A 25,644-nucleotide genomic window follows, 5' to 3' on the forward strand; every position below is an offset into this window, starting at 1 on the left:
TGTTAAGTATAGTGCAAATATTCCAAAATCCAAAGAATCTTAAATCTGAAATGCTTTTGGATAAGTGATACTCGACCTGTAGAAATTTATGGGTAGTAATTTTAGAAAGATAGATTTGGGGAAAAAGTGTAAGAAAGGTTATTAGCTTTTGGTTATAAGGTGCCCCAAACTAGTCTGTTTTCATACAAGTTTTCTTCATTTTGTGGCCATGATCCATCTTGCCAACAGCAATGCAGCCATGCTGCAGGGAGTAGGGAGAAAGCTACTCAGTCGTTTGGGTCATACCACAGTTGCTCAGGCTGCTTTCATGGTGTAAGAAAATTGCTTTAGGGGTGTAGGGGGCGTGGGGCTCAGGCATGCCCCAGCTATGGCTCTGATGGAGGTGAGTCCCAGGGAGACTTCCCCACCCGGCCACACCCGCATCCTCCATGACTGTGGGAAGCAACAGACCACGTAGTTCCTTACCGCCTCTTTGTATAATTTTGCCTGCCTATATTGAGTTTAGTGTTTTTCTTCTGGCTTCCTCTTCCTCTTCCTTTTCTTTTGATTTTTTTTTTTCCTGTTAGATTTTGATGTCAGGCTATTTATAGTTTTTCACTGTATGGTTCACATACCATTTATATACCTTTTTGTGCTTTTCAGAGGTAAACATCCATAAATTCTGGATGATGTTTATTTTCATAAGACTTGCTTTGAAACTTGCATGAAGAAGGGAAGCTTGACATTATTATCATTAATATCTGTTGAGCACTCTGAGTACTTGATGCCTCAGTAGGCAGATCAGCTGGAAAATCTTTTCCTTATTAAGAACAAGTTCACTAATAATAGTTGCATTGCCTGTTAGAAATAGATACTAGCAATTCTCTGGGATTAAAAAAATTAATCATCATTTGGAAGCATTAGTGCATTATAGCAATCCAATCATAAACAAATTTTATTGCTTTTAAATAAATCTTGATTGCTCTCTTTTGGAAATAAAAAGTTAGTTTTTTAATATAGGAAGAATCTGCGGAATGGCGGCAGTTTCAGGCTGATCTCCAGACTGCAGTAGTCATTGCAAATGACATTAAATCTGAAGCCCAAGAGGAGATTGGTGATCTAAAGCGCCGGTTACATGAGGCTCAAGAAAAAAATGAGAAACTCACAAAAGAATTGGAGGAAATAAAGTCACGCAAGTAAGTTCTGAGAAACCTGTTGTGTACTTATGTTTCAGTAGAGAACACTTAAATCCCAATTTTTGATGTGGTGCTATGGAAAAAATGTGGAGTTTGATACTTACTGAGTTTGGATCTGATGGAAGTTACTCAGCTTTTCTGGGCCTCATTTTATGGCACATGTAAACTAGTACCATCTATGTGGATCTTTCAGAGTTGTCAGTATCAGTGATCCCCAACTCTGGAGGGAGCCAGGATGGTCTCTCACATGATTCTCCTTTCCCCCAGACCCACAGTCCAGCCCTGTTAATTTTCTTTAGATTGTAGCCTCATGATTAATGATGTGGACTCTGGAGACAGATATTCTTGGCTCGTGTCCAGCTCTGCCTCTTACTAGCTGTAATCTTGGTCAGGAATCTTGACTTCCCTGAGCCTCAGTTTTCTCATCTTTAAAATGACACAATACTACCTGCCTTACAGTGTTGTCATAAGGATTAAATAAGATAATGCCTGCCAAGTGCTCAGGGCAATGATCAGTATACTTTAGCTGGTATTTTTGGAGACCCAAGTAAAGAATGCAAAGTGAGTTTCTCTCTATCACTTACTTGAGGAATTTTCACTTGTTTTATCTTATAATTGCATGAATCTCCACAGTAGGTTTTTTTTCCCCATGTAACATAGACATCATTGGAAACTGATGAAAATTATTAGATGAAATGACAGTTGTGACATGTGAGCTCCACACTGAGACTCCATCTAAGAGTAGGGGATAGTATTTTTGTGTTTGAGGTTATTACTAAGAATTTGATTATTCCTTAGTTTGAGTAATTATTAAGTGGGCATAGGAAGAAATTTAGAAAACTAACAGTATATCTTTAAAAAATGGTCTTATCATTGCCTTGCTCTAGTAAATGGCTCAGAGAAAAGTATTGCTAAGCATTTTTCATTGGATTCCTTAAGCAGAACATGGAATGAGACAGATTATTGTTTCTCTACTAGTATAAAACATGTATTACATTACTTTTTTCTCTTTATTATTAAACGAATAACATATCAGAAATGCTTCATTCTATAGTTATCCTGAGTGAATGAAATTCTACTGTTAAAGTTTCATTCCTTTGGATCTCAAAAATTCATAAGACTTTGAGACACATGTTTTTAAAATGCTTTCTGAAAGAGGTAGCATCTTGTAGGACAGTGGTTCTCAGAGTGAGGCCTGCAGATTCCTGGGTGTCCCTAAGGCCCTTTAAGGACTCTGTGAGGTCATACTGTCTTCATAATACCATCACATTGTTTGCCCTTTTCACTGTGTTGACTTCTAAACTGTTAGTGAAAAGCAAGTGTAAACTGTTGATGAACCAAGGTCTTGGCAATAAATTGCACTCATAGTCATTATACTCTTCACCACCACATACTTGATTTTTTTTTAATGTAGGTTTCACTTAAAGATGTCCTTGGTAAAACATTAAATTATTAATTTTACTAAATCCCAGTCCTTGAGTACACTCTTTAGCATTTTGTGTGACAAAATGGGAAGTACAGAAAAAGCACTTCTGCTTTATGTGCTATACTCAAGACTATACTGAAGAGTGAGGTCACGTTGAGGAAAGTGCTGTGATTAGTTTGAGCTGCTTTCTTTTTTCATGGAATGCCATTTTTTTACTTGAGAATGACAGACAAACTGTGCATCATTCAGACTTTGGTATTATTTGGTGGGTATTTTGTGAAAACAGTTAAGACAGCCTATCACTTAAAGGAAAACAACTGACAGTATTCGTTGCCAGTGATAAAATGTGGGCTTTGAAGTGAATGTTAGGATTTTGGAAAATTTGTTATTTACCATTGGTGAGTTTGGCAGCTTCCCATAAAGTGTCTTCTGATGAGATCATTGCGACTTAAAAAAAATGTATAATGACAGAATTTAGAAAATCTGTCTAATTCAGTGAACCAGTATTTTCCTTACAGCCAGTCTGTGATGTTAAACAAGATTGACCAGTGGATTTTAATGGGCAGAATAGGAAAAGTTCACTTATATGGTTTCAGATTCCACATTGGAGCTAACTTTTAAGTTACTACTTGTTGCATTTTAGTGCAGTTATCAAAGAAGAACAGCTACAGTTATCTAAAAGGCCTATTAAAATCTTCCCTTTTCCACCTGCCTTATCTATGTAAGACTTGCTTTTTTTATATCAAAATAGGTTGAATACAGAAGAAATGAGAGTTTAGCTGTTTACTCTTAAGCCAGACATTAAAGAGATGATTTAAAAATGCAAAGCCCTGTTACTCTTCTTACTAATTTTTTTTTTTGGTTTTGGAAAACTTAGTTATTTTTCATAAAAATATATTAGCCCTGTATTTATTTTTATTTTTAGATGATTAAATATTTGTATATATTCTTAGTTTTAATGTAATGGAAGACAGCTCTTATAAACAAAAGCTTTTTGGGGTCCTTACTCATTTTTAGGAGTAGAAAGGGGCTCTAAGACCAAAAAGTTTGATAGTCACTGTTATAGATTCTTTATTAAAAGTTCTAATCAGCCGGGCGCAGTGGCTCATGCCTGTGGTCCCAGCACTTTGGGAGGCCTAGGTGAGCGGATCACCTGCGGTCAGGAGTTTGAGACCAGCCTGACCAACGTGGAGAAACCCAATGTCTACTAAAAATACAAAATTAGCCGGGGGTGGTGGCACATGCCTGTAATCCCAGCTACTCGGGAGACTGAGGCAGGAGAATCACTTGAACCTGGGAGGTGGAGGTTGCGGTGAGCCGAGATGCGCCACTGCACTCCAGCCTGGACAACAAGAGCGAAACTCCATCTCAAAAAAAAGAAAAGAAAGTTGTAATCATGACAGCTAAATGACCTTAAGAGCCTGTGGTACATCTTGAGGCAAAATACTGTCAGAAGCCAAATGGCCACCAAAGACGGATTTTTCCTAAGGACTGGCTTAATTTTTATTCACATACTTGATAGTTATATGACATATACAAACTCTGCAATTGTAATCTCATTCCAGATGAAATAATTCTGTGTTAGTCAGCGTAGTGAATTTAGAATGGGCCAGAAATGAAATGGAATTGATTTTTTCAAATGACTCAGGATGCATCACACTGAGCTTCTAGGGGACTCATGTTACTAATATGGGTCTAGGCTTTTTTTTTTTTTTCTTTGTAGAATTCTATTTGAAGTCTACACCACTTGCCTTGTTTTTATTTTTATTTTTTTAAAGAGTGTGGGCTAAGCATGATGTATTAGCTGGAGCCAGTATAAATTAATATTATACCAGTATAAATTAATATTATATAGTTATCAGGTACTGGTGAACCTCCAGACTCCTGAGAAGGGCCTTCTCGGCAGCACAGGACCTGGAGAGTCTCAGCTCTGAGCCAGTCTACCTCCTTTTTTACTGCTAATTGATTACTGATGTCCTTACCTTACACTTACTCAGATGAAAATGGAATTTGATGGTTGCTTAACTTACTTAGGATAACCTGATATAAAAATTTCAGTATCATTTCCTGGTATTTACCAAGCAAATGAGAACATTAGACCAGGTAATTTACTAAGCTCAACTGATACAATTTTTTTAAACTGATAGTTTTTTGTTGTTTTTTTTTTTTTTTTGAGATGGAGTCTCGCTCTTTTGCCCAGGCCGGACTGCAGTGGCACTATCTCGGCTCACTGCAAGCTCTGCCTCATGGGTTCACACCATTCTCCTGCCTCAGCCTCCCAAGTAGCTGGGAGTACAGGCGCCCACCACCGTGCCTGGCTAATTTTTTGTATTTTTAGTAGAGATGGGGTTTCACCGTGTTAGCCAAGATGGTCTCGATCTCCTGACCTCGTGATCCTCCTGCCTCGGCCTCCCAAAGTGCTGGGATTACAGGTGTGAGCCACCGTGCCCGGCCATTAAACTGATAGTTTTTAATGCCTTTCAGCTGGGAGGGGAAAATGTGTATGTTCTAGTACCTATGTAAAAATGCTCTGATTTCAATATTATTTTCAGGCAAGAGGAGGAGCGAGGCCGGGTATACAATTACATGAATGCCGTTGAGAGAGATTTGGCAGCCTTAAGGCAGGGAATGGGACTGAGTAGAAGGTCCTCGACTTCCTCAGAGCCAACTCCTACAGTAAAAACCCTCATCAAGTCCTTTGACAGTGCATCTCAAGGTAATTAATTTCTCCTACATTGTGCCTACTGCATGCGGTTGTGTTCACTTACCTTATATTCTCTGGTCTGATTTGGTATTCTTTACTGTCTTACTCTTAGTCCCATTAACTTTCATATAGTATTAATGCACTAGACTTAACAGAAGGTGATATTTAATAGAAGGTTTGAGATCTCTTCAGCTTCAGAGGTGTTAGTCTTAGACAGAAGCCTGAATCCCATGCAGAGATGTGTCTTCTCACCCTCGGTGGATCACACACATTCCTGTTACTTTAAGTATGTTTTCTATGCCTGAGAACTTCCAGATGTATAACTTTAGCTCTTCCCTTCCTCTGAACACCTCAGTCATGTCTATCCAGATGCCTACCTGACATGGACCCTCAGGTGTCTCCTGGACATCTGAAGTCCAAAAACCAAACTCTTGTCTGCCATCTTCAGCCTTCTCCCCATGCATCAATGGCAGCATCACTCTACCCAGTTACTTAAGCCAAAAGTCTGGGGATCTTCCTTAATTTCTTGTTCTTTCTTACCACTACATCTAGTCCATTACTAGCAAATTCTGTTGATACAGCCTACATCATGGATATCTTTGCTTTGTCTTCTCTCCATCTCTAGCGGCACAAGCTTTAGTTCAAGCCACCATCAACCACTAATTTCAGTAACCTCCAAATTAATCTCCCTGTTTCATCCCATGATAAAAAGATCTTTTCTTGTTTAAAATCCTTCGGTTGCTTATTATAGTTGAAATGAAATTCAGATTCCCAAATGCCTCCATGGTCTGACCCCTGCCTACTCTTTGCCTCAGTTGAACCACTCTTCCCCCACTCACTATAGTCCTACACAGCACTTCAGGTTCTGAATCAAGCTGGGCTTTCTTTCATACAAGCTCTAGAAGGCTTACTCTTCCCACTTTCAAATGACTGACTTGTTTTCATCTAACTTCCTCAGCTCTGGGAAAGGAAAAGGGATGTGGTTTTTTCAAACAGTTAATTGTAATATGTCCAGAAGCTCAAATTTTTATCTAGAAATTCTTTAAACTTTATTAACAGGCTACTAGAATCTGTATTCTGTGATTATACACAAATGAGTTTTCATTGACTTTAAAAGCAGAGCAAAAGTCACATGTATACTCCTACACACTGTTGGTGTAGACATTCTGGAGGACTGTTAGGCAACACCTTCCAGTTTAAAATGCCGTATTCATAGACTCTGAAGTTGTTATACTTAGTACTGGCACAAGTATTATGCATAAAGATGGTATTATACATAGTACCATCTTTATATGTATTATGTATAATATAAGATAGTGTTATGTATAATACTATCTTTACAGACTCTGAAGTTGTTATACTTAGTACTGGCACAAGTATTATGTATAAAGATAGTATTATGTATGAAAAACTCTTATGTGTATGTATACATATGTATACATATACAGAGTTTTCAGTATAGCATTGTTTGGAAAAATGGAACACCTAGAAATTGTTTAAATACCTACTAAAAGAATTAAGACAGTTATGACCAATTAATACAGTAAAATAATATGCATATTTTAATAAGGATGACATAGATCTCAAAGTACTGATGTTAAAACATGTCTGTGATCCTTTATTCAAGTGTGCCACCTGAGCAGTCGCTCTGTGCGCTGCAATCCTTTATAGTAAATTGCAGGCCAGTACATATATATATATATGTATATATCTATATATACCTATATGTGTGTGTGTACATATATAGTGTGTGTGGTCTTGTTTTTTTAAGGTACTTAGATAACTAAATGTTTTTGCATTTAAAGTGCAAGAAAGATGTACCCAGAACTGTTGTTAGTGGCCACCTCTGGGTAATATGATGGGGTAAGATGAAAGGAGAACTTTAAAATATATATGCTTTGAGCTGACAAGTGCCTGTAGTTCCAACTACTTATGAGGCCGAGGTGGTAACATGCTATCACCACACCTGTTAATAGCCACTGTACTCTAGCCTGGACAACAGAGCAAGACTCTGTCTCTAAAGAATAAAATATATATATGCTTTGAAAATCAAATTGATAATGGAATGTCTACATTAAATTAAAATTATACACCTATTCAAAATGTTAATAAAGCATGCTTTAATGCACAAAACTGCTTCATACTAATGTTTTTTAAAAGCCTCATGTTATTTTATAATAAAATATATGTAAATGACCCAGCAATTCTACTCCTAATTATATATTCAAAAGAACTGAAAATAGATAATCAGACAAATACAGTCCCTGACTTAACGATGCTTTAACTTTTGATTTTTTGACTTTACAGTAGTGCCAGCGATACACATTCAGTACAGCATTCAGTAATTTAAATGAGTTATTCAACATAGCCATTTATTATAAAATAGGCTTCATGTTAGATGATTTTGCCTAACTGTAGGCTAATGTAATGTTTTGATCTTGTTTAAGGTAGGCAAGGTTAAGCTGGGATGTTCGGGAGGTTAGGTGTATTAAATGCATTTTTGACTTGCTTATGATGGGTTTATCAGGACATAACTCCATCATAAATCAAGAAGCATCTGTGCTTGTACATAAATGTTCGTAGCAGCTCTGCTCACAATAGCTAATAGATGGAAGTAACCCAAGTATCCATGCATTCGATGAATGGATAAACAAAATGTGGTATATTCATACAATGGAATATTATTCAGCCACAAGAAGGAATGAAGTAGTAACACATACTTTAACATGGATGAATCTTTACAACATTATGTTAATTGAAGGAAGCCAGATACAACAGGTCACATATTGTAAGATTCCGTTTATATTAAATATTCACACTAGGTCAGTCCATAGAGACAGAAAGCAGATTGCCATACGCTGGCGGGACAGTGGATGGGAAGTGACTATTGGGATACTAGGTTTTCTTTTGGAATTATGAAATGTTTTGTAACTAGGTAGAGGTGATGGTTGCATAATATTTTGAATGCACTAAATGCCACAGAACTGCACATTTTTAAACGGTTAACTTTATGTTTTGTGAATTTTGTCTCAGTACATAAGAATACATCTAAAGATATCAATTCTAAATATAAGTAAATATATTCGTGTTTATATTGGCTGCATTAAAAAAGTCCACAGTGGTCTGCTTCATCTTTCCACACTGTGTGTTTGTATCCCATTTTTAATTTAATTCAGCATCAAATGAATAATCATTTTTGCAGCCTTTACCAGAATCTGTGCTATGCTCAACTGTTTAGATATTAATAAATTCTAAAAACATAAACTACTTTTCAGCAGTTTATTATAGAGAGAGAGAGACTGATATGCCAACAAGTGATTCCACATCCCTGCATTAAATACAAATCAGAAAATATATGCGAAGTGATGGACTCTGCAGGAGGAATTGAGGAAAGACAAGCAGAAGCAGGAGTTCCTCATTCTTTTGTTTAATATGCAACTATTGAACATCCTTTACCTGCCAGGCTTCTTACCTGATATAGTTATGTAAATACTCCTCTTGGGTTTTACTACTTGAATTTCATTGCTTTATGGAGCACTTTAACTACATAACATAATTAAATAACAAAAACGAAATGACTGCCATAACAAGGGTTAGAAATAAGCATGACTACTCTACAGATGCAAATAATTCACCTGATGGGAGGAAAAGCACCTGTGTGCTAAGACATGGCTACAAGTGTTCAGCAGAGGCTAGACATCAGCCAAGACAGTGTCCAGCGGGGTTTGAGAGCATTGGGTAATCAGGCGAGTCCTTAAGTGGAGACCAGTTAAGCTTCCACTGTACAGTGACATTATTTCCCTTTTTGTTTGTTGTTTTTGTAGTACCAAACCCTGCTGCAGCTGCAATTCCTCGAACGCCCCTGAGCCCAAGTCCTATGAAAACCCCTCCTGCAGCAGCTGTGTCCCCTATGCAGGTGAGTGCCTGGAACCACAGGAGGCTCTTAGAGCCTCAGAATCTGAAAGTTGAGGCCTTTTCTTCACAGTCATTTACACCTGTATTAGTTGGGTAAATGACTACCTCAGCAGGGATGTATCTAGAATTTGTTTCCTAAAATACTATAAATATCTTTAATAGAGATAAATTATATAAGTGTAAATTGTGTTATTCTGATAGACTCTAATAATGATGGCTAACAACAGTTGAACACTTGCTATGTGTTCTACACTGTTCTGAATACTTTATAATGTTAACTCATTTAATCCTTACAACTCTTGGGTATTAGGTACTGTTCTTATCTGTATTTTTCACATGTGGTTACTGAGGCCCAGAAAGGTTAAGTAACTTGCCGAGGTTCATGCAATTAAGTGGTAGAGTAGGGGTTCAGAGTTAGGCTGTCTGGATTCAGTGACTTTAGTCACTACACTAAGACACAAAGGTGTCTCTTGAGTAGAATATGTGGTTGCCATGTCTCAGCCTTTACTGCATAGCAAATCACTTCAGAACTTAGTGGCTTGAAAGAACAGTTTTGTTAGTTTTCACATTTCTCTGAGTTGACTAGGCAATTCTTTGCTGGCTTTCCTGGGCTCATTCCTGCAGTTGAATTCACAGAGAAGGTGGGATGGGGCCTGGGCTCAGCAGGATTCCTGGGCTGCTTTCTTCATGTGATTTGTCTTCTCAGGCTCCTTCACAGCATGGTTATCTCCAGCTCCAAGAGACTGAAAATGAAAGTTAGCAAAGCCTCTGAAGACCTAAGCTTGGAACTTGGACAGTGACACTTCTGTCCTGCTATTTTAATCCAAGCAAGTCACAGGGCAGCTGCGATTCAGAGTGGAAGGGGTGCACAAGGCATGAATTCAGAGAAGCATGATTCATGAGGGCTGTTTTGTAACAGGTCCGGCACAGGTCATTATTGATACATTAGAAACAAGTTTTAAAAGTTGCTCCTCCGTGCCATTGTGGAATGCAGATGAGAAGCGGGGCAGAGGGCTATTCAGTAGTGCTCAAGAGGCCGCTCATTGTGCATTTTATTCAGCCGCTTTTGGACAGTATAGTTGAGGCGGAGTATTTCCACATAGGTGAGAGTAGCCAAAGGAAACATTGCCTAAACCCCATTATCCTGTGATAAAGGGTAGCCCTGGCTGCACCTCTTCCCTAAAATAATGGTGTTGGGGAGCATTTTCGAGTTGAGACATTTGTGCTGTGTTTACTAGTGTGCTCCCTCCGCATTTATATTGTGAGTTCGTGGCTTTGCATTTGCATGTATATACAAGATGTTATGTCCTTTTTTTTTTACCCCGAAACGGGGTCTCCCTCTGTCACCCAGATTGGAGTGTAGTTGCATGATCTCGGCTCACTGCACAACCTCTGCCTCCCAGGCCCAACCAGTCCTCCCACCTCAGCCTCCCAAGTAGCTGGGACCACAGGCGTGCACCACCATGCCTGGCTGTTTTCTGTGTTTTTGGTAAAGACAGGGTTCTGCCACGTTGCCCAGGCTGGTCTTGAGCTCCTGAGCTCAGGTAATCCACCTGCCTGGTCCTCCCAAAGTGCTGGGATTACAGACATGAGCTACCACGCCTGACATTATGTCGTAATTTAAAAAGAAGGGAAGGGAATACTGTTCCACCAATTTAATGACCTTTTTTTTTTTTTTTTTTTTTTTTTTGAGACGGAGTCTCACTCTGTTGCCCAGGCTGGAATGAAATGGCATGATTTCGGCTCACTGCAACCTCCACCTCCTGGGTTCAAGTGATTCTCATGCCTCAGCCTCCAAGTAGCCAGGATTACAGGTGTGCACCACCACACCCAGCTAATTTTTGTATTTTTAGTAGAGACGGTTTTAACCACGTTGGCCAAGCTGGTCTCAAATTCCTGACCTCAAGCAATCTGCCCTCTTCAGCCTTCCAAAGTGCTGGGATTACAGGCGTGAGCCACTGTGCGCAGCTGATTTAATGCTTTTTTTATGTGCTCTCTATTAATCAAACTTCATCTAAAATTCTGAAAATATAGATAAAAGCAAAATAAAGATGCCAAATGTAATAAACTTCAAATAAGATGAACTTTAAGTGGTGTTTATCAGTTGACGTTTAATGTATGAGGCATCACTTTGTAAATCTTTGTAAAGATAGGAGGTGAAAAATATTTCTACAAGTTGCAAAAAACTAATACTTATGAGCTACATTCAGTAGCTTTTTAGTACATGATTAGTTAGTACAGTGCGTCTCAAACCTAATCGTATATAAAAATCATGTGGAGAGTTTTTAAACAGGTAAAATTCCCAGACCTCATCCTGGTAAACCATAATCTCTGGGGACTGGGGCCTAAGCTTGGGATTGTTAGTTTTTCAAAACTCCCTGGGTAGGAATTCTACTTCTAGCTATGTGGGAGTAACAGGCTGGATTATTCTGCCATCACAAACAACGATTAATAGAAAGATGGACAAAATATAAGAAACAATTATTTTCAGACATTGTACGTAACTGTGATCCCTGAACAAAAATTTTAAAATGAGGTAAGTCCTACTGTGGCCCACAGTCTTTTCCTGGAGGCAATTTCCAGGTGGTGGTGCAGGGAAGATGAACCTACATGGAGCAGGGAAGAGAAAACCAATTGGATCTGAGTAGACACAAATCAACATTCAAGGAGAAGGCGACTGCTCGAATTTGCAGGGCAGATACTGGGAGGAGGGAGCTGCATAGAGAAAGGAGTATAGAAATCTGCGTAGGCATCCCTTTGAGTCTTTTCCTGAATACCAACCTGCACCTGCATTGGGTGAAACCCCACAAGGATAATTTTCCAGGAACAGCCCCGCAAGAATAATTTTCCAGGAACAATTTCCAGGAACAGGGAGCTATCACACAAACACTTCTGGTAGCTCACCTAGGGCAGGAAATCATTTGAGTTCCCACCAGCCGCTGTGGAGACACCTCTTTGAATAGATGGCATTCATTATAGACTCCTAAAGGACCACACCTGAAAGTATCATAGAACTAAATACCCTCAGAGTAAATAGTATTCTAGATCTGCCGTAAAAGATCTTTAAAAATAAGATGCAGAAGGACCAAGGAGATCCTTAAGTAGCTATAGTAGGCAGCCTCTAAAATGTTCCCCAGCGATCCCCCATTGGTGGTAGTTGCTCCTTGTGTAATTTGCTCCTGTTGAGTGTTGGCTGCAGCTCGTGATTTGCTTCCAGTGAATATGGCAAAGCAAAAGAAGTGGTGGGATAAGGTTATCACTGCTAAAATCGTTACAAAAAGCTTTGCTTCTGCCTTGAATGTTCCTCTTGCTATCACTTAGAGCCACCTACTCCAGGGAATCCCAGTTCCCATGTTGTGAGCCAGCCCTGCAGAGAGGCCCACATTAGGAAGTGTGGGAACAGATCTTCTGAAGCTTGCCAGCAGCCATGTAGATGAGCTTGGAAGCAGATCTTCGATCCTCGAGATAACTGCAGCCCTGCTGACAACCTGATTGCCTCCTCGTGCTAGACCTTGAACCAGAGGCACTCCGCTAAGCTTTCTGACCCACAGAAACTATGAGATCATAAATGGATTGTTTTAAGCCACTAAAGATTTGAAGTAATTTGTCATGCAGCATAGGTAACTAATACAGTAGTGTACTTATTTGCCAAAGTAATAATTTTTAAAGGAATACAGCAAAATATAAGACTCCATCATAATCTGGCATGCAATAAAAAATTACTAGACAATGAAGAAGCAGGAAAATGTCACCTATAACCAGGGGAAAAATCAGTCAATAGATGCAGACCTAGAACGGATAGAAATGATAGGATTAGCATGCAGCAATGTAAATATGATCTCTGCTTAAGTATGTGAAGGGAAGCATGCACAGATGAAGAGAGAAGTGAAAGATATGAAAAAGAATAGAGGAGGCCAGGTATGGTGACTCACGCCTGTAATCCCAGCACTTTGGGAGGCCAAGGCAGGTGGATCACCTGAGGTCAGGAGTTCAAGACCAGCCTGGCCAACATGGCGAAACCCCATCTCTACTAAAACTACAAAAAAATTAGCCAGGCACGGTGGTGTGTGCCTGTAATCCCAGCTACGCAGGAGGCTGAGGCAGAAGAATCGCTTGAACCCAGGAGGGGGAGGTTGCAATGAGCTGAGATTGTGCCATTGCACTCCAGCCTGGGCTACAGAGCAGGACTCCATCTCAAAAAAAAAAAAAAAAAAGAAATAGAGGAAAAGATCAGTATGTTTGAGGACATAGCAGTAGAATCTGTCCATAATGAGTAACAGAGAGGTAAAAAGACTGGGGAAAAAAATAAACTGAAGCCCTGACTTGTGGGATGAAATTAAGTGGTCCTACATACCTGAAATTGGAGCCCAAGAAAAAAAGGCGGGTCGGGGGGCAGAGTGGGAAGTGTGTCTGAAAAAAACATTTGAAGAAATAGGCTGGGCGCAGTGGCTCACGCCTATAATCCCAGCACTTTGGGAGGCTGATGTGGGCAGATCACCTGAGCTCAGGAGTTTGAAACCAGCCTGGACAACATGGCGAAACCCTGTCTCTACTAAAAATACAAAAAATTAGACAGGCATGGTGGTGTGTGCCTGTAGTCCCAGCTACTTGGGAGGCTGAGGCAGGAGAACCACTTTAACCCGGGAGGCAGAGGTTGCAGTGAGCTGAGATCGCACCACTGCACTCCAGCCTGGGCGACACAGGGAGACTCCATCTTAAAAAAAATTCTTTTTTTGAGGAAATAATAGCCAAAATCCATCCAAATTTGATGGAAATTATATACTCATAGATCCAAGAAAATCAGGAAGCTAAAGCAAGACAAGCGTATATAAACATACAAACACCCTCATCCCCATGCCCATTAAGGCATTGCTGAAAAACAGTGATAAGAAACTCTTAAGGACAGGCAGGTGAGAATGATCACAGACTTCTAGTTAGAAACTGTGCAAGTCAGAAGACAACAAAATGGTTGTGTTTTTTTTTTGTTTTGTTTTGTTTTTTTGAGATGGAGTCTAGTTCTGTCGCCCACGCTGGAATGCAGTGGCGTGACCTTGGCTCACTGCAACCTCTGCCTCCTGGGTTCAAGTGATTCTCCTGCCTCAGCCCCCTGAGTAGCTGGGACTACAGGTGCGTACCATGGTGCCTGGCTAATTTTTGTATTTTTAGTAGAGATGGGGTTTCTCCATGTTGCCCAGGCTTGTCTCAAATTCCTGGACTCAGGTGATTCACCTTCCTCGGCCTCCCAAAGTGAGCCACTGTGCCCAGCCCAAAATGGCATCCTCAAATGCTGAAAGAAAAACCCTGTCAACTTAGAATTCTGTGTATTTAAAAAAAAAAAGTAAAAGTAAAATTATTTAGGCAAACAAAAGCTGAGGGAATTCATTATCCACAGACAGTTGGGGGAAAGTGAATGAGGAGTATATGGGACTTTGCTGTACTATCTTTACAACTTCCTGGGAATCCATAATTATTTCAGAATAAAAGTTTAAAATAAAAAGGCTTCCCACATAGAAAACTCCAGGCCCAGGTGGTTTTACTAGTGAATTGAATCAATCCTTTGTGGAAGAAATAATTCCAATTGTATATAGTCTTTCAGAAAACAGAAGAGTAAAAGGACTTTCCAGTTCATTTTAGGAAGCTAGCATTACCTGATAGCAAAACCAGACAAAGACATTGCAAAAAAAGAAAATGGCTAGCCAGTATTCCTCATGATTATAGATGGTTATAGATGCAATATAAAAGCACACATTAACAAAACTGAATCCAGCAATATATAAAAACGACAATCCATCATTACCAAGTGTGATGTATCCCAGGGGTGCAAGGTTAAAATTTACCTCAACACAATAAAAGAGGGAAAAAAAATTAAAAAAAAAAACATTAATCTCAACGTATTTAGAAAACTATTTGACAAAATTTTACATCCATTCATAGTAAAACTCTTTAGCAAACTAGAAATAGAAGGAGACCTGTGGGAACTCCACAGCTAACGTCATACTTAATCTGGAGACTGAATGCTTTCCCACCAGGATCAGGAGCAAGGTAAGGATACCCACTGTCACCACTTTTGTTCAGCATTTTGCTGGAGCTCTTACCCTGTGCAATTGCATAAGACCAAAAAAAAAAAAAAAAAAGAAAGAAAAGCATACAAGTTTGGAAAGGGTAAAGTAAAACTGTCATTATTTGCAGATAACATGATCATTTATGTAGAAAATCCTAAGGAGTCCACACAAAAGCTTTTTGAGTTGAGCAGTGTCAAGGTTTACACGAGGTCCTATACAAAAGTTATTTGTTTTTCTGTATATTAGCATGAATAATTGGAGATTGAAATACTTAGCAATAAATATAATGAAATGTATGCACAACCTGTGCAATGAAAACAATAAAATATTGCCGAGAAAAATTGAATAAATAGAAAGTGATGTCATTTATAGATTGGAAGACTCAATATCATTAATATCTTGTAGTAGTCTTTTAAATTGGTCTGTAGATTCAACACAATACCAATTAAAAGAGCAGTGCTCTTTGGGTAGAAATTGACATGGTAGTATTAAGTTCATATGGAAATGCAAGATCCCTGAATATTCAAAACATTGTTGTGGTCGGGGGGGTGCGGGTGGAGGACAAATTTGGAGGACTTGTACTACCTGATTTCAACATTAGATCAGTAGAACAGAGAGTTCAGAAGTAGGCCAGTCGATTTTCTACAAAGATACCAAAGTAATTCAATCGGTAAGGAATAGTTTTTTGAAGAAAAGATTCTGAAATGACTAGATAACTGTATAGAAAAAAAAATAACCTCAGCCCGTACCTTATGAAATACACAAAATTTGAAATGGACTATCAACCTAAATGTGAAAGCTAAAACTATAATTTTTACATGAGAACATGAGAGAAAATCTTCATGACTTTTAAGACTGCAAACATTTATTAAGATATAAAAAAGCATGAACTATAAAAGCAAGTTGATAAATTAGGCAACTTAAAACTTAAAACTTCTCTGAAAGACGTTAAGAAAATACAAAAAGCAAGCTACAGACTGGGGAGAATGTATTCATAATACATTTACCTAACAAAGATTTACATTCAGTAAGAAGACAAACAACCCAATAAATAATGGGCTAAGATTTGAGAAGATCCTTCCAGGAGAAGAATACAAATGGCCAATGGCACATGAAAAGATGATCAACATCATTAGTCATCAGGAAAATGGAAATTAAATCCACAATGAGATCCTATTCTATATTCTTCCAAATGGCCAAAATCTAAAAGGCTGACGATCTGAAGTGTGGTAGGGATGTGGAGAAGCTGGACCTTGTCCACATTTCTGATGGGAATATGAAATAAATAGAAGTTAGCCAGATAAAAAGGGCTGGGCGAAATCTGTGGGAGTGAAGCACAAGAAAAACATAGACAAGCAACGTGGTCTGCATGATAGTAAATAAGTAGGTTGGTGGTGTTTGAGCATCATGTAGAGGTGGCAGGAGAGCTGAGGGGTTTTAAGTGTTCATGGTGGATTCTTTCTGTTTTTTTTGTTTTTTTTTTTTTGAGATGGAGTCTCACAATGTCACCCGGGCTGGAGTGCAGTGGCGCGATCTCGGCTCACTGCAACCTCCGCCTCTCGGCTTCAAGTGATTCTCCTGCCTCAGCCTCCCAAGTAGCTGAGATTACAGGCGCCTGCCACCACGCCCAGCTAATTTTTTGTATTTTTAGTTGAGACGGGGTTCCACTATATTGGCCAGGCTGGTCTCAAACTCCTGAGATCATGATCCGCCCACCTCAGCCTCCCGAAGTGCTGGGATTAAGGCATGAGCCACTGCGCCTGGCCGTGGTGGATTCTTCTGGCTGCCTGCATATGCAGAAGTCTGGCGATGATGCCAGTGACAAGCCATTGCTGTAGTGCTGCACTGAGATGACAGGCTGTACTGGGCAGTTGTTGTAGCATTAGCAAGCGGGTGGCAGAATTGAGATTTATTTGAACCAGGACTTGAATGGTCAGTACAATTACAAAAGGAGCACATCTGCATTTTATTTTGGAACATGTTTTTGTATTTACTGAATTGGTTTGTGATACTTTAAAGATTCTCTTCCAACAAAATAATGAAACCACATTCAGAATACCAGTGGTTGCCAGAGGTCAGTGATAGGGGGTTGGGGACGGGAAGAGGGGTGTGACTGTAAAAGGGCCCCAGGAAGGATCCTTATGGTGATGGAAATGTTCTTTATCTTGACTGTATCAGTAACATATAAATGACTATATAAGATAATGACTATATCAGTATTTGGCTAATGTCAAAATCCTGCTGGTGGTATTTTACTATAGGTTTGTAAGATATTACCGTTGGGGGAAACTGAGTAAAGAGTACGTAGGATCTCTTTATATTCTTAAAACTGCATATGAGTCTATAATTACCCCATAATAAAAAGTCTAATTTTTAAAAAAAGTATATTGATCACAGTCCATGCCTGTAAGGTGTGTTACAACCTTACTATAGCAGTATGGAAAGAATTAATACGGATTTATAACTAAATATCTACTCTGTGCGGCATTTACTTTGTGAGTCCAAACAGTCATTTTAACTTTGATGTTGTTTATCTTATGATTTCAGAGACATTCCATAAGTGGACCAATCTCAACATCCAAACCCCTGACAGCCCTGTCAGATAAGAGACCAAACTATGGGGAAATCCCTGTTCAAGGTACGTGTAATATGCCATAGCATTTCACCTTTTTTTCAATTTTTGAATTGTTCTGGCTTTTTTGGCAAACTAAATATTTTCTTTGCTCTTGATACTATTTCAATCAATCTGGTATACCTTTGTATCAGAAGTTCACTAGTAAGTATATCTAAATTACAAGTGGGGAAAGTAGTTGTTAATGAATGCATCTTTCCTGACAGCTGTCATAATGGGTAATAGAGAGTGTACACCATTGCTAGGCACTGTTTTCACAGTTCCTCATGGCATATGTATTATTGTCATCCTCATTTTATAGATACCAAAAATGAGGCTTAAAGAAGTTAACTAATTCAATTCAGGTTAACACAGTTAGTTACTAAGCAGTAGCCCAGGGCAGCCTGACTTCAAAGCCCATTCCTTAAATCTCTGGACTGAGTTTTGTTACCCTGAGAGAGCTGAGACTCTGGAAGATGAGGGTCAGCAACTCTTTGGAGCCCTTGGGAGGAACTTGCTGTTTTCACACAGCCATTTTTTTTTTAAGCTGGAGTATCACTCTGTCTCCCAGGCTGGAGTGTAGTGGCACAATCTTGGCTCACTGCAACCTCTGCCTCCCGGGTTCAAGCAATTCTCCCACCTCAGCCTCCCGAATAGCTGGGACTACAGGCGCACACCACCACGCTCAGATAATTTTTGTATTTTTAGTAGAGACAGGGTTTCACCATGTTAGCCATACTGGTCTCAAACTCCTGACCTCAGGTGATCTGCCCACCTCAACCTCCCTAAGTGATGTGATTATAGGCGCAAGCTACCGCACCTGGCCTTCCACGTAGTTTTTTTATGGTAGGGCTGGCACCAGAACCCAAGTATCCCACCTTTCGAGGTTGAGGCTCCTTCTCTTACCCCACGCTGCCTCTTCATGTGAGGTACTAAAGTGCATTGGAAAGATGAACTGCAGTGTTGGGGTGTGGTGCTGGGAAAAGCACTGCTTCATTTGGGGTGGGTGTGGGAATGTTCCCAAGTGTCCCCTCAGGGCCTGAGGGCTCCTCTTAGCTGATGCAGGCCAGTTACTTCCATGCGTCAGGAATTCTTGGTTGTGCATGTTAGGCTGTGTATGTTAGACTAGAAGGCTTCAACAGGTTTTGGGTCAGAAGTAAGCAGACTTGTGAAAAGTATTAAATTAAAGAACCCAAAGGACTGGCTCTGTGGGCTCCATGTAGTACCAGCGCCTGAAGAGTTCAATTTGGTGGTTGAACTGGCCCTATACCTGTCAGTCTTCAGTGTTCTGATAAGCTGGTTGTGTACACATTTAGGGGCAATGGAGTACAAGGTGGTGCTGCTACTACCTCCCTGGCACAAAGATTTGCCTTCTGCCCTGCTTCTTGGCTTCTGGTTCATTTGTCAGTCATCACCTAAGCTCTTTTCTCCCCTCAGAAGGTTTTGCTAAGGGAACAAATAGTGGAAGGTTTAAAGTTTTCTTAACCCAAATACTCTGCATCTCTCCTTCCTCTCTTTACATCCCGCCTCCCAGATGAACCCACAAAGGATTTACATAGGTGTGCAGCACAGAGATCTTGGCCTTGCCATGGCCTGGCTGTTAACTGCAACCTTTTTGGTGCTGTCTCCTCATCTGTAAATTGATAGTGAACACCTAGCTCACTGGGTTCCTGGGCTCTTAACACCTGCAGCTGCTGAAGTTGTCAACGACTGCTGTGTCCCCAGCCCAGCCAGTTCAGTCCTAATCTGATGTGACCCGTCAGCAGCATTTGGCACTGTTGAGCACTCTGTCTTCTAGGACATTCTTTTTGGTTTCCCTAATACCACACTCTTGTGCCTTCTCTCTGTCAGGCTGCTTCTTCTTCCTCTCCTGTGTGGCTTTTCTCCTTTTTTTTTTCTTTGTTTTTTTGAGACAGAGTCTCACTCTGTCGCCCAGGCTGTAGTGCAGTGGCACGATATCAACTTACTGCAACTTCCGCCTCCTGGGTTTAAGTGATTCTCCTGCCTCAGCCTCCCGAGTAGCTGGGATTACAGGCGTGGAGCACCCCACCCAGCTAATTTTTGTATTTTTAGTAGAGACGGGGTTTTGCCATGTTGGCCAGGCTGGTCTCGAACTCCTGACCTCAGGGTGATCTGCCAGCCTTGGCCTCCCAAAGTGCTGGGATTACAGGCATGAGCCACCGCACCCGGCCTGGCTTTTCTCTTCTTCCTGACCTGTACGTGGAGGTGTGGCCCAGAGCTCAACACAGGGCCTTTGTTCTTTGTCCTCACTTTCTTTGTTATTGTATCCTGTCTCATGACTTTAAATACTATTTTTGTGCTGAGGACTGTCAGATTTGCATCTCTCGCCTGTTCTTCTCTGGACTCTAGGTTCGTGTATACAGTTGCCTACTTGACATCTTCCCATTTTGATATTGAATATTCTCAGACAATGTCTCCAGGACAAGATTTCCCCCACTTTCCAAACTTGTTCTACATGTAATCTGCCTTCTCCATCTCCATTCATGGCAGTTTCATCCTTAGAAACCTTGGAGTCATCCTTAACTCCCGTCTTCATCTTAGACTTGTTCAGTTGTTTAGGAAATCCCATTGACTCTACTTTCAAAATATGTCCAGAATAAGAGCATTGCTCTTTTCTCTACTGTCACCTCCCTGGTATAAGCCACCATCATCTCTCAGCTGGGTTCTGGCAAAAGATTCCTAATCACCCTCAGTGTCTGTTCTTGACACTGTAGCTTGAAAAACAGAAATTGAAACCTGCTACTCTAGTCAAACCCTCTACATCTCCCCATTTCTTCTAGAAGAGGAGCCAGAGTTCTCTCAGGGGCCTCCAGACCCTCGCAGCCTGGCCTCAGTGTCCTCTCTAGCCTCTTCACTTTCTTGCTCACCCTGCCTCACCACATGGGCTTCCCTGCTGTCCCTGAGTACTTGGGCATGCTCCTGACTTAGACACCTTGCAACTGGCACTTTCTATGCTGGAACCCTCTGCCTGGAACACTGCTGGATCGAACCTCCTCAGCAAGGCCCTAAGTACCATATTTAAAGATGGAAACCACTCGTTCTCCCACACACCCCTTTCTCTGCTTGCTCTCCTTATCACTGGTCCCATTCTAACATCCCATATGGTTTGTCTATAATTTTTATTTCTTTCTCTTATTTCCCTAAATTGTAAGACCTATAAGGCAAGATTGGTGTCTGTTTTGTTCACTGAGGCATCCTCAGCACCTGTAGAAGTACTGGACTCTTGATAAAAAATTGTGAGGTGAGTGAAAGAAAGAAGAGTTAAAGCTTGTAAAGTGCTTAGCGCCAATTCTATCCCATAGTAAATCTTTGCTGTTCAATTTTATTACTATATGTGTGAACTTTTTCTGAGTAGCACAAGTGGCTGAGAATGATAGCTCTCATTGGCCCACAAGTCAAAGATTTTAGACGCCTGAGTTGCCTGCAGGATTTTGCTTAGCTGCCAGCAAATAACTAAAGCACCTACACAAGTTGTGTCCTAGGCATCTTTAAAAAGCTCTATGTGTTGAAGGCAGAGATGGTAACCAGGAATTCAGGAACGTTTCCACTCTGCTGCTTGGTAGGTGTGCCCTAGTTCTGTCAATAGTCAGCCTTTTGACCTTCTTCAGTCTGCGTTAAGTGTGGTCAGAGCCAGTGCAAGTCTGCAGCAGCCTCTGAGGGTAAGTATAACCCTGTGCCAGTACCCTAAAGCTGTGAGTCCAGCCTGGGCACGGTGGTGTGGCTGCAAGCCTGAGAAAGCCCAGGAGGAGAGACCCCTATCAGAGGGCACTGAGGTGATCCTGGGGCATCAGAGGACAGTGACGCTCCATGTTCCAGGTGGCCTCTGAGGAGAGTGGAGTGCTGCACTGAGAAATGGCTCAGGGTCTTCCCATACCTCCTGAGCTCAGCTGAAGCCAACCCTCGAGGCCTTCTCCACTCTCCACTGCTGCTTTCCAGGCTTATCTTGATGGGGTTAGAGCAGGGCGAGGTTTACCAGGGGAAACCAGCACCAGTGGTGTGTCTCAAGCTTACCTGAGTCACTTGTTAAAATATAGAATGTTGGGCCTCCCCTCAGATCTAATGATGTAGACTCAGTAGCTTGGATATGCCATTTTCACAAGCACCCCAAGTGACTCTTAGGAATAAGTGAATTTGGAATATTATTGGGCAAAGACTACCGTTTAATTATTTCTGTTACCTTGGCTTTTGTGGGTGGAGAATGGGTGTGGAAGGTCTGTAGGCCAAGGTTATTGAAAACACAGATTAAATGCATTAAGATTCTATTCCTGGCTCTTATTTTATCATCTGGTGATGCATCAAACGGTAGTGCCAGCGGCATGGGGGTACATGCCGTCAGTCTATGTAAAAGCTGGTCTCATTCTCCACTTCAGTCTGTTGTCATGCCTTAGTGGAGTGTGGTTGAGACATTGCAAATACAGGAGAAAGGAAACACACTTAGATGAATCTATATCACAGTAGTTGATACTGTGATCGTTTATCTTAAACAGTCATTCAAGAAAAGAACCACTCAGAAAACTAAGAACAACCAAATGATTCGTGGCCATAAAAAGCCACTGTGGTTTTCCAAATTGTGATGAGAGTAGGATTTCTGAGCTCTGTCTTGAACTGCTTTTCTTCCTTGGTTGTCTTATTTACTTAGGGATGAATTTAAAAATACAGTGTGTAATTTTCGTTTAAAAAATTTAAGTGTCTTCATTACTGAAGTTTAAAAAGATGCTGCCTCTTGGAGAATGGCGTGAACCCGGGAGGCGGAGCTTTCAGTGAGCCGAGATTGCGCCACTGCACTCCAGCCTGGGGAATAGAGCGAGACTCTGTCTCAAAAAAAAAAAGATGCTGCCTCTTGCTCTACAATAGTTTTTTTTTTTAAATCTATTATCCTTTAGCATCATGCACTTGCAGGAAAATGTTTCATACCAGAGAAATCTTACTATAAATGCACTTAATCAAATGCTCTTTTGTTGGTATTACCAGCAGTGGAATTAAATGGCTAGGGTCATGACTGGTGCCACCTTAGTGAATCTTTGTAGATAGTATATGAATTAGCTTTATGCCCTAAGCTGAAAAGCACAGATTCTGCTGCCAAGTACATGGATACAGGTAGTTGGAAAGTGCACAGTGACCAGATGAGCTCCAGAATGTTAAGCATAAACCTCAGCTGGCTGGTGTAAATGGTTGAGAAGCCTGGGATTGCCCAGTGTCAGTGTGACCCTATCACCGTGTCTCTCAGCTCAGGCATATAGATGTCTTAAGAAGTTCGTTAGTCCAAGTGTAGTTGTGTTCTGTAAGGAAATTTCATACCATTATTACCTGTCTAAATTGTGTTACTTGAGGCCAGAGATTTTTATAAACTGAGTATTTTGAAAAAAAAATGATTTATGTTAAGGGTACATACCATAAATTTGTATGAAGTTAGGAGGTTTTACTGGAAAGCCAAACCTTCTGTTTAAAAACTTTCACAGAATTTTCTTTTTTACTCTAAATCAGATTCTGCCTCAGCTTTAGATCTAGCCTTAGGCCATGAAAGTCCCAGGATAAAATGAGATAGAAATCCTACCCTCCTGCACTTTACAGTCTAATTGGATATTTAGTCACTCCCCCTTCTTCTTCCTCTTCCCTGTGGTTCTTGATAAAAATCAGAACTTATTTTTATCAATCTCAGCTCTTATTTTCTCCCCAACATATTATAATGAAAATTTTCAAACATACAGAAAAGTTGCAAGAAGTTGTGCCGTGAATTATCCACTTACTTACAGCCTAGATTCTGTGGCATTCTTTTATATTTGCTTTATCACAAAGTAAGTTATAATCACTACCCTTCAGCATGCATATCAGTATTTATGGTGTTCTGTCTCTCTGTGTGTTTCCTTTTGAAATAAGTTTAGACTTAACAAAAATATTAGAGTTCCCTTCCCCCAGCTTCCCTTATAGGAACATCCTACATAACTATAGAACAGTTACAAAAAGTAAGAAATTAATAGCAGTAAAATATTATTAACTAACCTACAGAATTTATTTGAATTTTACCAGTTTTTCCACTAATGTCCTTTTTTAATTCTAGAATCAAATTGAGGCTCCTACTTTCCATTTAGTTGTCTTATCTCTTTAGTCCCCACCAGTCTGCAGCTGCTTCTCACTCTTCCCCTGTCTCACATGACCTCAACACTTTTGAAGAATACTTGTCAGTTATTTTGCAGAATGTCTCTCAGATGGGCTTGTCTGATATTTTCTTCTGATTTAAGTTGAGTTTATGGAGTTTTTTTCGTTTTTTGTTTGTTTGTTTTGTTTTTTGAGTTTTTTGAGATAAGGTCTCACTCTGCAACCTCCGCCTCCTGGGTTCAACTCTCATGCTTTAGCCTCCCGAGTAGCTGGGATTACAGGCGCATACCACCACACTCAGCTAATTTTTTTGTATTTTTTGGTAGAGATGGAGTTTCACCATATTGGCCAGGCTGGTCTTGAACTCCTGACCTCAGGTGATCCGCCCACCTCGACCTCCCACAGTGCTAGCATAACAGGCATGAGCCACCATGCCCAGCCTGAGTTTATGTTTTAATGGAAGGGATACTGCAGAGGTGATGTGTCCTTTTCAAGTTATTTTATCAGGGGTACATGAGATTGATGTGTCTTGTTACTTCTGATGTTAAATTAACTTTGTTCACTTGGTTAGGTGATTGGCTGCTAGGAATTAGTAAATATCTTTGTGTTAGTCCATTCTTGGATTGCTATAAAGAAATACATTAGGCTGGGTAATTTATAAAGAAAAGAGGTTTAATTGGCTTACAGTTATGCAGGCTGTATAGGAGGCATGGTGCCAGCATCCGCTCAGCTTCTGGTGAGGCCTCAGGAAGCTTACAGTCATGGTGGAAGGCAAATCAATAGCAGGAATGTCACATGAAGAAAGGGGGAGCATGAGAGAGAGGAGAGAGGTGCCACACACTTTTAAACAACCAGATCTCACAAGGACAGCACCAAGCCATTCATGAGGGATCTGCTCCTATGACCCGGGTACCTCCTACCAGGCCCACCTCCAACACTGGGGCTTACATTTGAGCATGAGATTTGGAGGGGACAGACACCTAGACTATATCAGTTTTGTTCCTTCTTAAACTTTCTCTCACTGATTTCAGCATTTATTTATGCATTTTGCCCACAACAGTTATTACCGTGGTGTTTCAGTGGTGGTTTTCTATTTCCTTATTCCATCTGTAAGGAATTATTTATATGTATTATTCTATTGACATCATTCATTTATATTAGTATAGACTCATGGATATTTGTTCTTTGGATTATAATCTACTACCATTTTTATTTGTTTTGTTGTCAGGTTATTCCATCAGTGGCTGTTGAGAGATCTTTCACATTGACTCCTTGCTTTCTCAATGCACCTTCCCTCCACCCCTGAAGTACTTTCTGGCACTACAAGATGCTCCAGCCTATCTTGGTTTTTTTTCCTGCACCAGCCCTGGAGTCAACCATTTCTTTAAGGAGTTCTGGTTACTCTTTTTTTTTTTTTTTGAGACAGAGTCTCACCCTGTCGCTGGAGTGCAACGGTGTGATCTCGGCTCGCTGCAACCTGCGCCCCCTGGGTTCAAGTGATTCTCATGTCTCAGCCTCTTAAGTAGCTGGGATTACAGGTGCATGCCACCACACCTGGCTAATTTTTTTGTATCTTTAGTAGAGACAGGGTTTCACCATGTTGGCCATCTCATGACCTTGTGATTCACCCACGT

At 40.4% G+C, this 25,644-nt stretch overlaps 1 protein-coding gene and 1 long non-coding RNA gene across 5 annotated transcripts in view, besides 1 other annotated feature; both read left to right on the forward strand.

The window, feature by feature from the left end:
• SPECC1L-ADORA2A (SPECC1L-ADORA2A readthrough (NMD candidate)) overlaps positions 1 to 25,644 on the forward strand; it is a 171,544-nt gene that overhangs the window by 58,440 nt on the left and 87,460 nt on the right. Inside the window, 5 exon segments of the long non-coding RNA NR_103546.1 lie at positions 1,000 to 1,175; positions 5,154 to 5,317; positions 9,130 to 9,221; positions 14,226 to 14,347; positions 17,830 to 17,920. This is a non-coding gene — a long non-coding RNA (SPECC1L-ADORA2A readthrough (NMD candidate)).
• Positions 1 to 25,644, forward strand: part of SPECC1L (sperm antigen with calponin homology and coiled-coil domains 1 like) — a 146,908-nt gene that overhangs the window by 58,426 nt on the left and 62,838 nt on the right. For 3 of the 4 annotated variants that reach the window (NM_015330.6, NM_001145468.4, NM_001254732.3), the window contains 4 exons: positions 1,000 to 1,175; positions 5,154 to 5,317; positions 9,130 to 9,221; positions 17,830 to 17,920. In NM_015330.6, coding sequence (NP_056145.5) covers positions 1,000 to 1,175; positions 5,154 to 5,317; positions 9,130 to 9,221; positions 17,830 to 17,920 — 523 coding nt within the window. Of the gene's footprint in view, positions 1 to 999; positions 1,176 to 5,153; positions 5,318 to 9,129; positions 9,222 to 12,851; positions 13,139 to 15,154; positions 15,263 to 17,829; positions 17,921 to 25,644 lie in introns of those variants that run through there. The other variant, NM_001254733.2, reaches the window with a different exon arrangement.
• Positions 9,717 to 10,412: an enhancer, noted in NCBI's record as "H3K27ac-H3K4me1 hESC enhancer chr22:24734941-24735636 (GRCh37/hg19 assembly coordinates)". NCBI's record gives its function as "activates a minimal SCP1, AML or CMV promoter by ChIP-STARR-seq in primed H9 embryonic stem cells {active_cell/tissue: H9 hESC(primed)}" and the evidence as "EXISTENCE:reporter gene assay evidence [ECO:0000049][PMID:30033119]".

This window comes from Homo sapiens, chromosome 22 (genome assembly GCF_000001405.40).
Source record: "Homo sapiens chromosome 22, GRCh38.p14 Primary Assembly".
Lineage (NCBI taxonomy): Eukaryota > Metazoa > Chordata > Mammalia > Primates > Hominidae > Homo > Homo sapiens.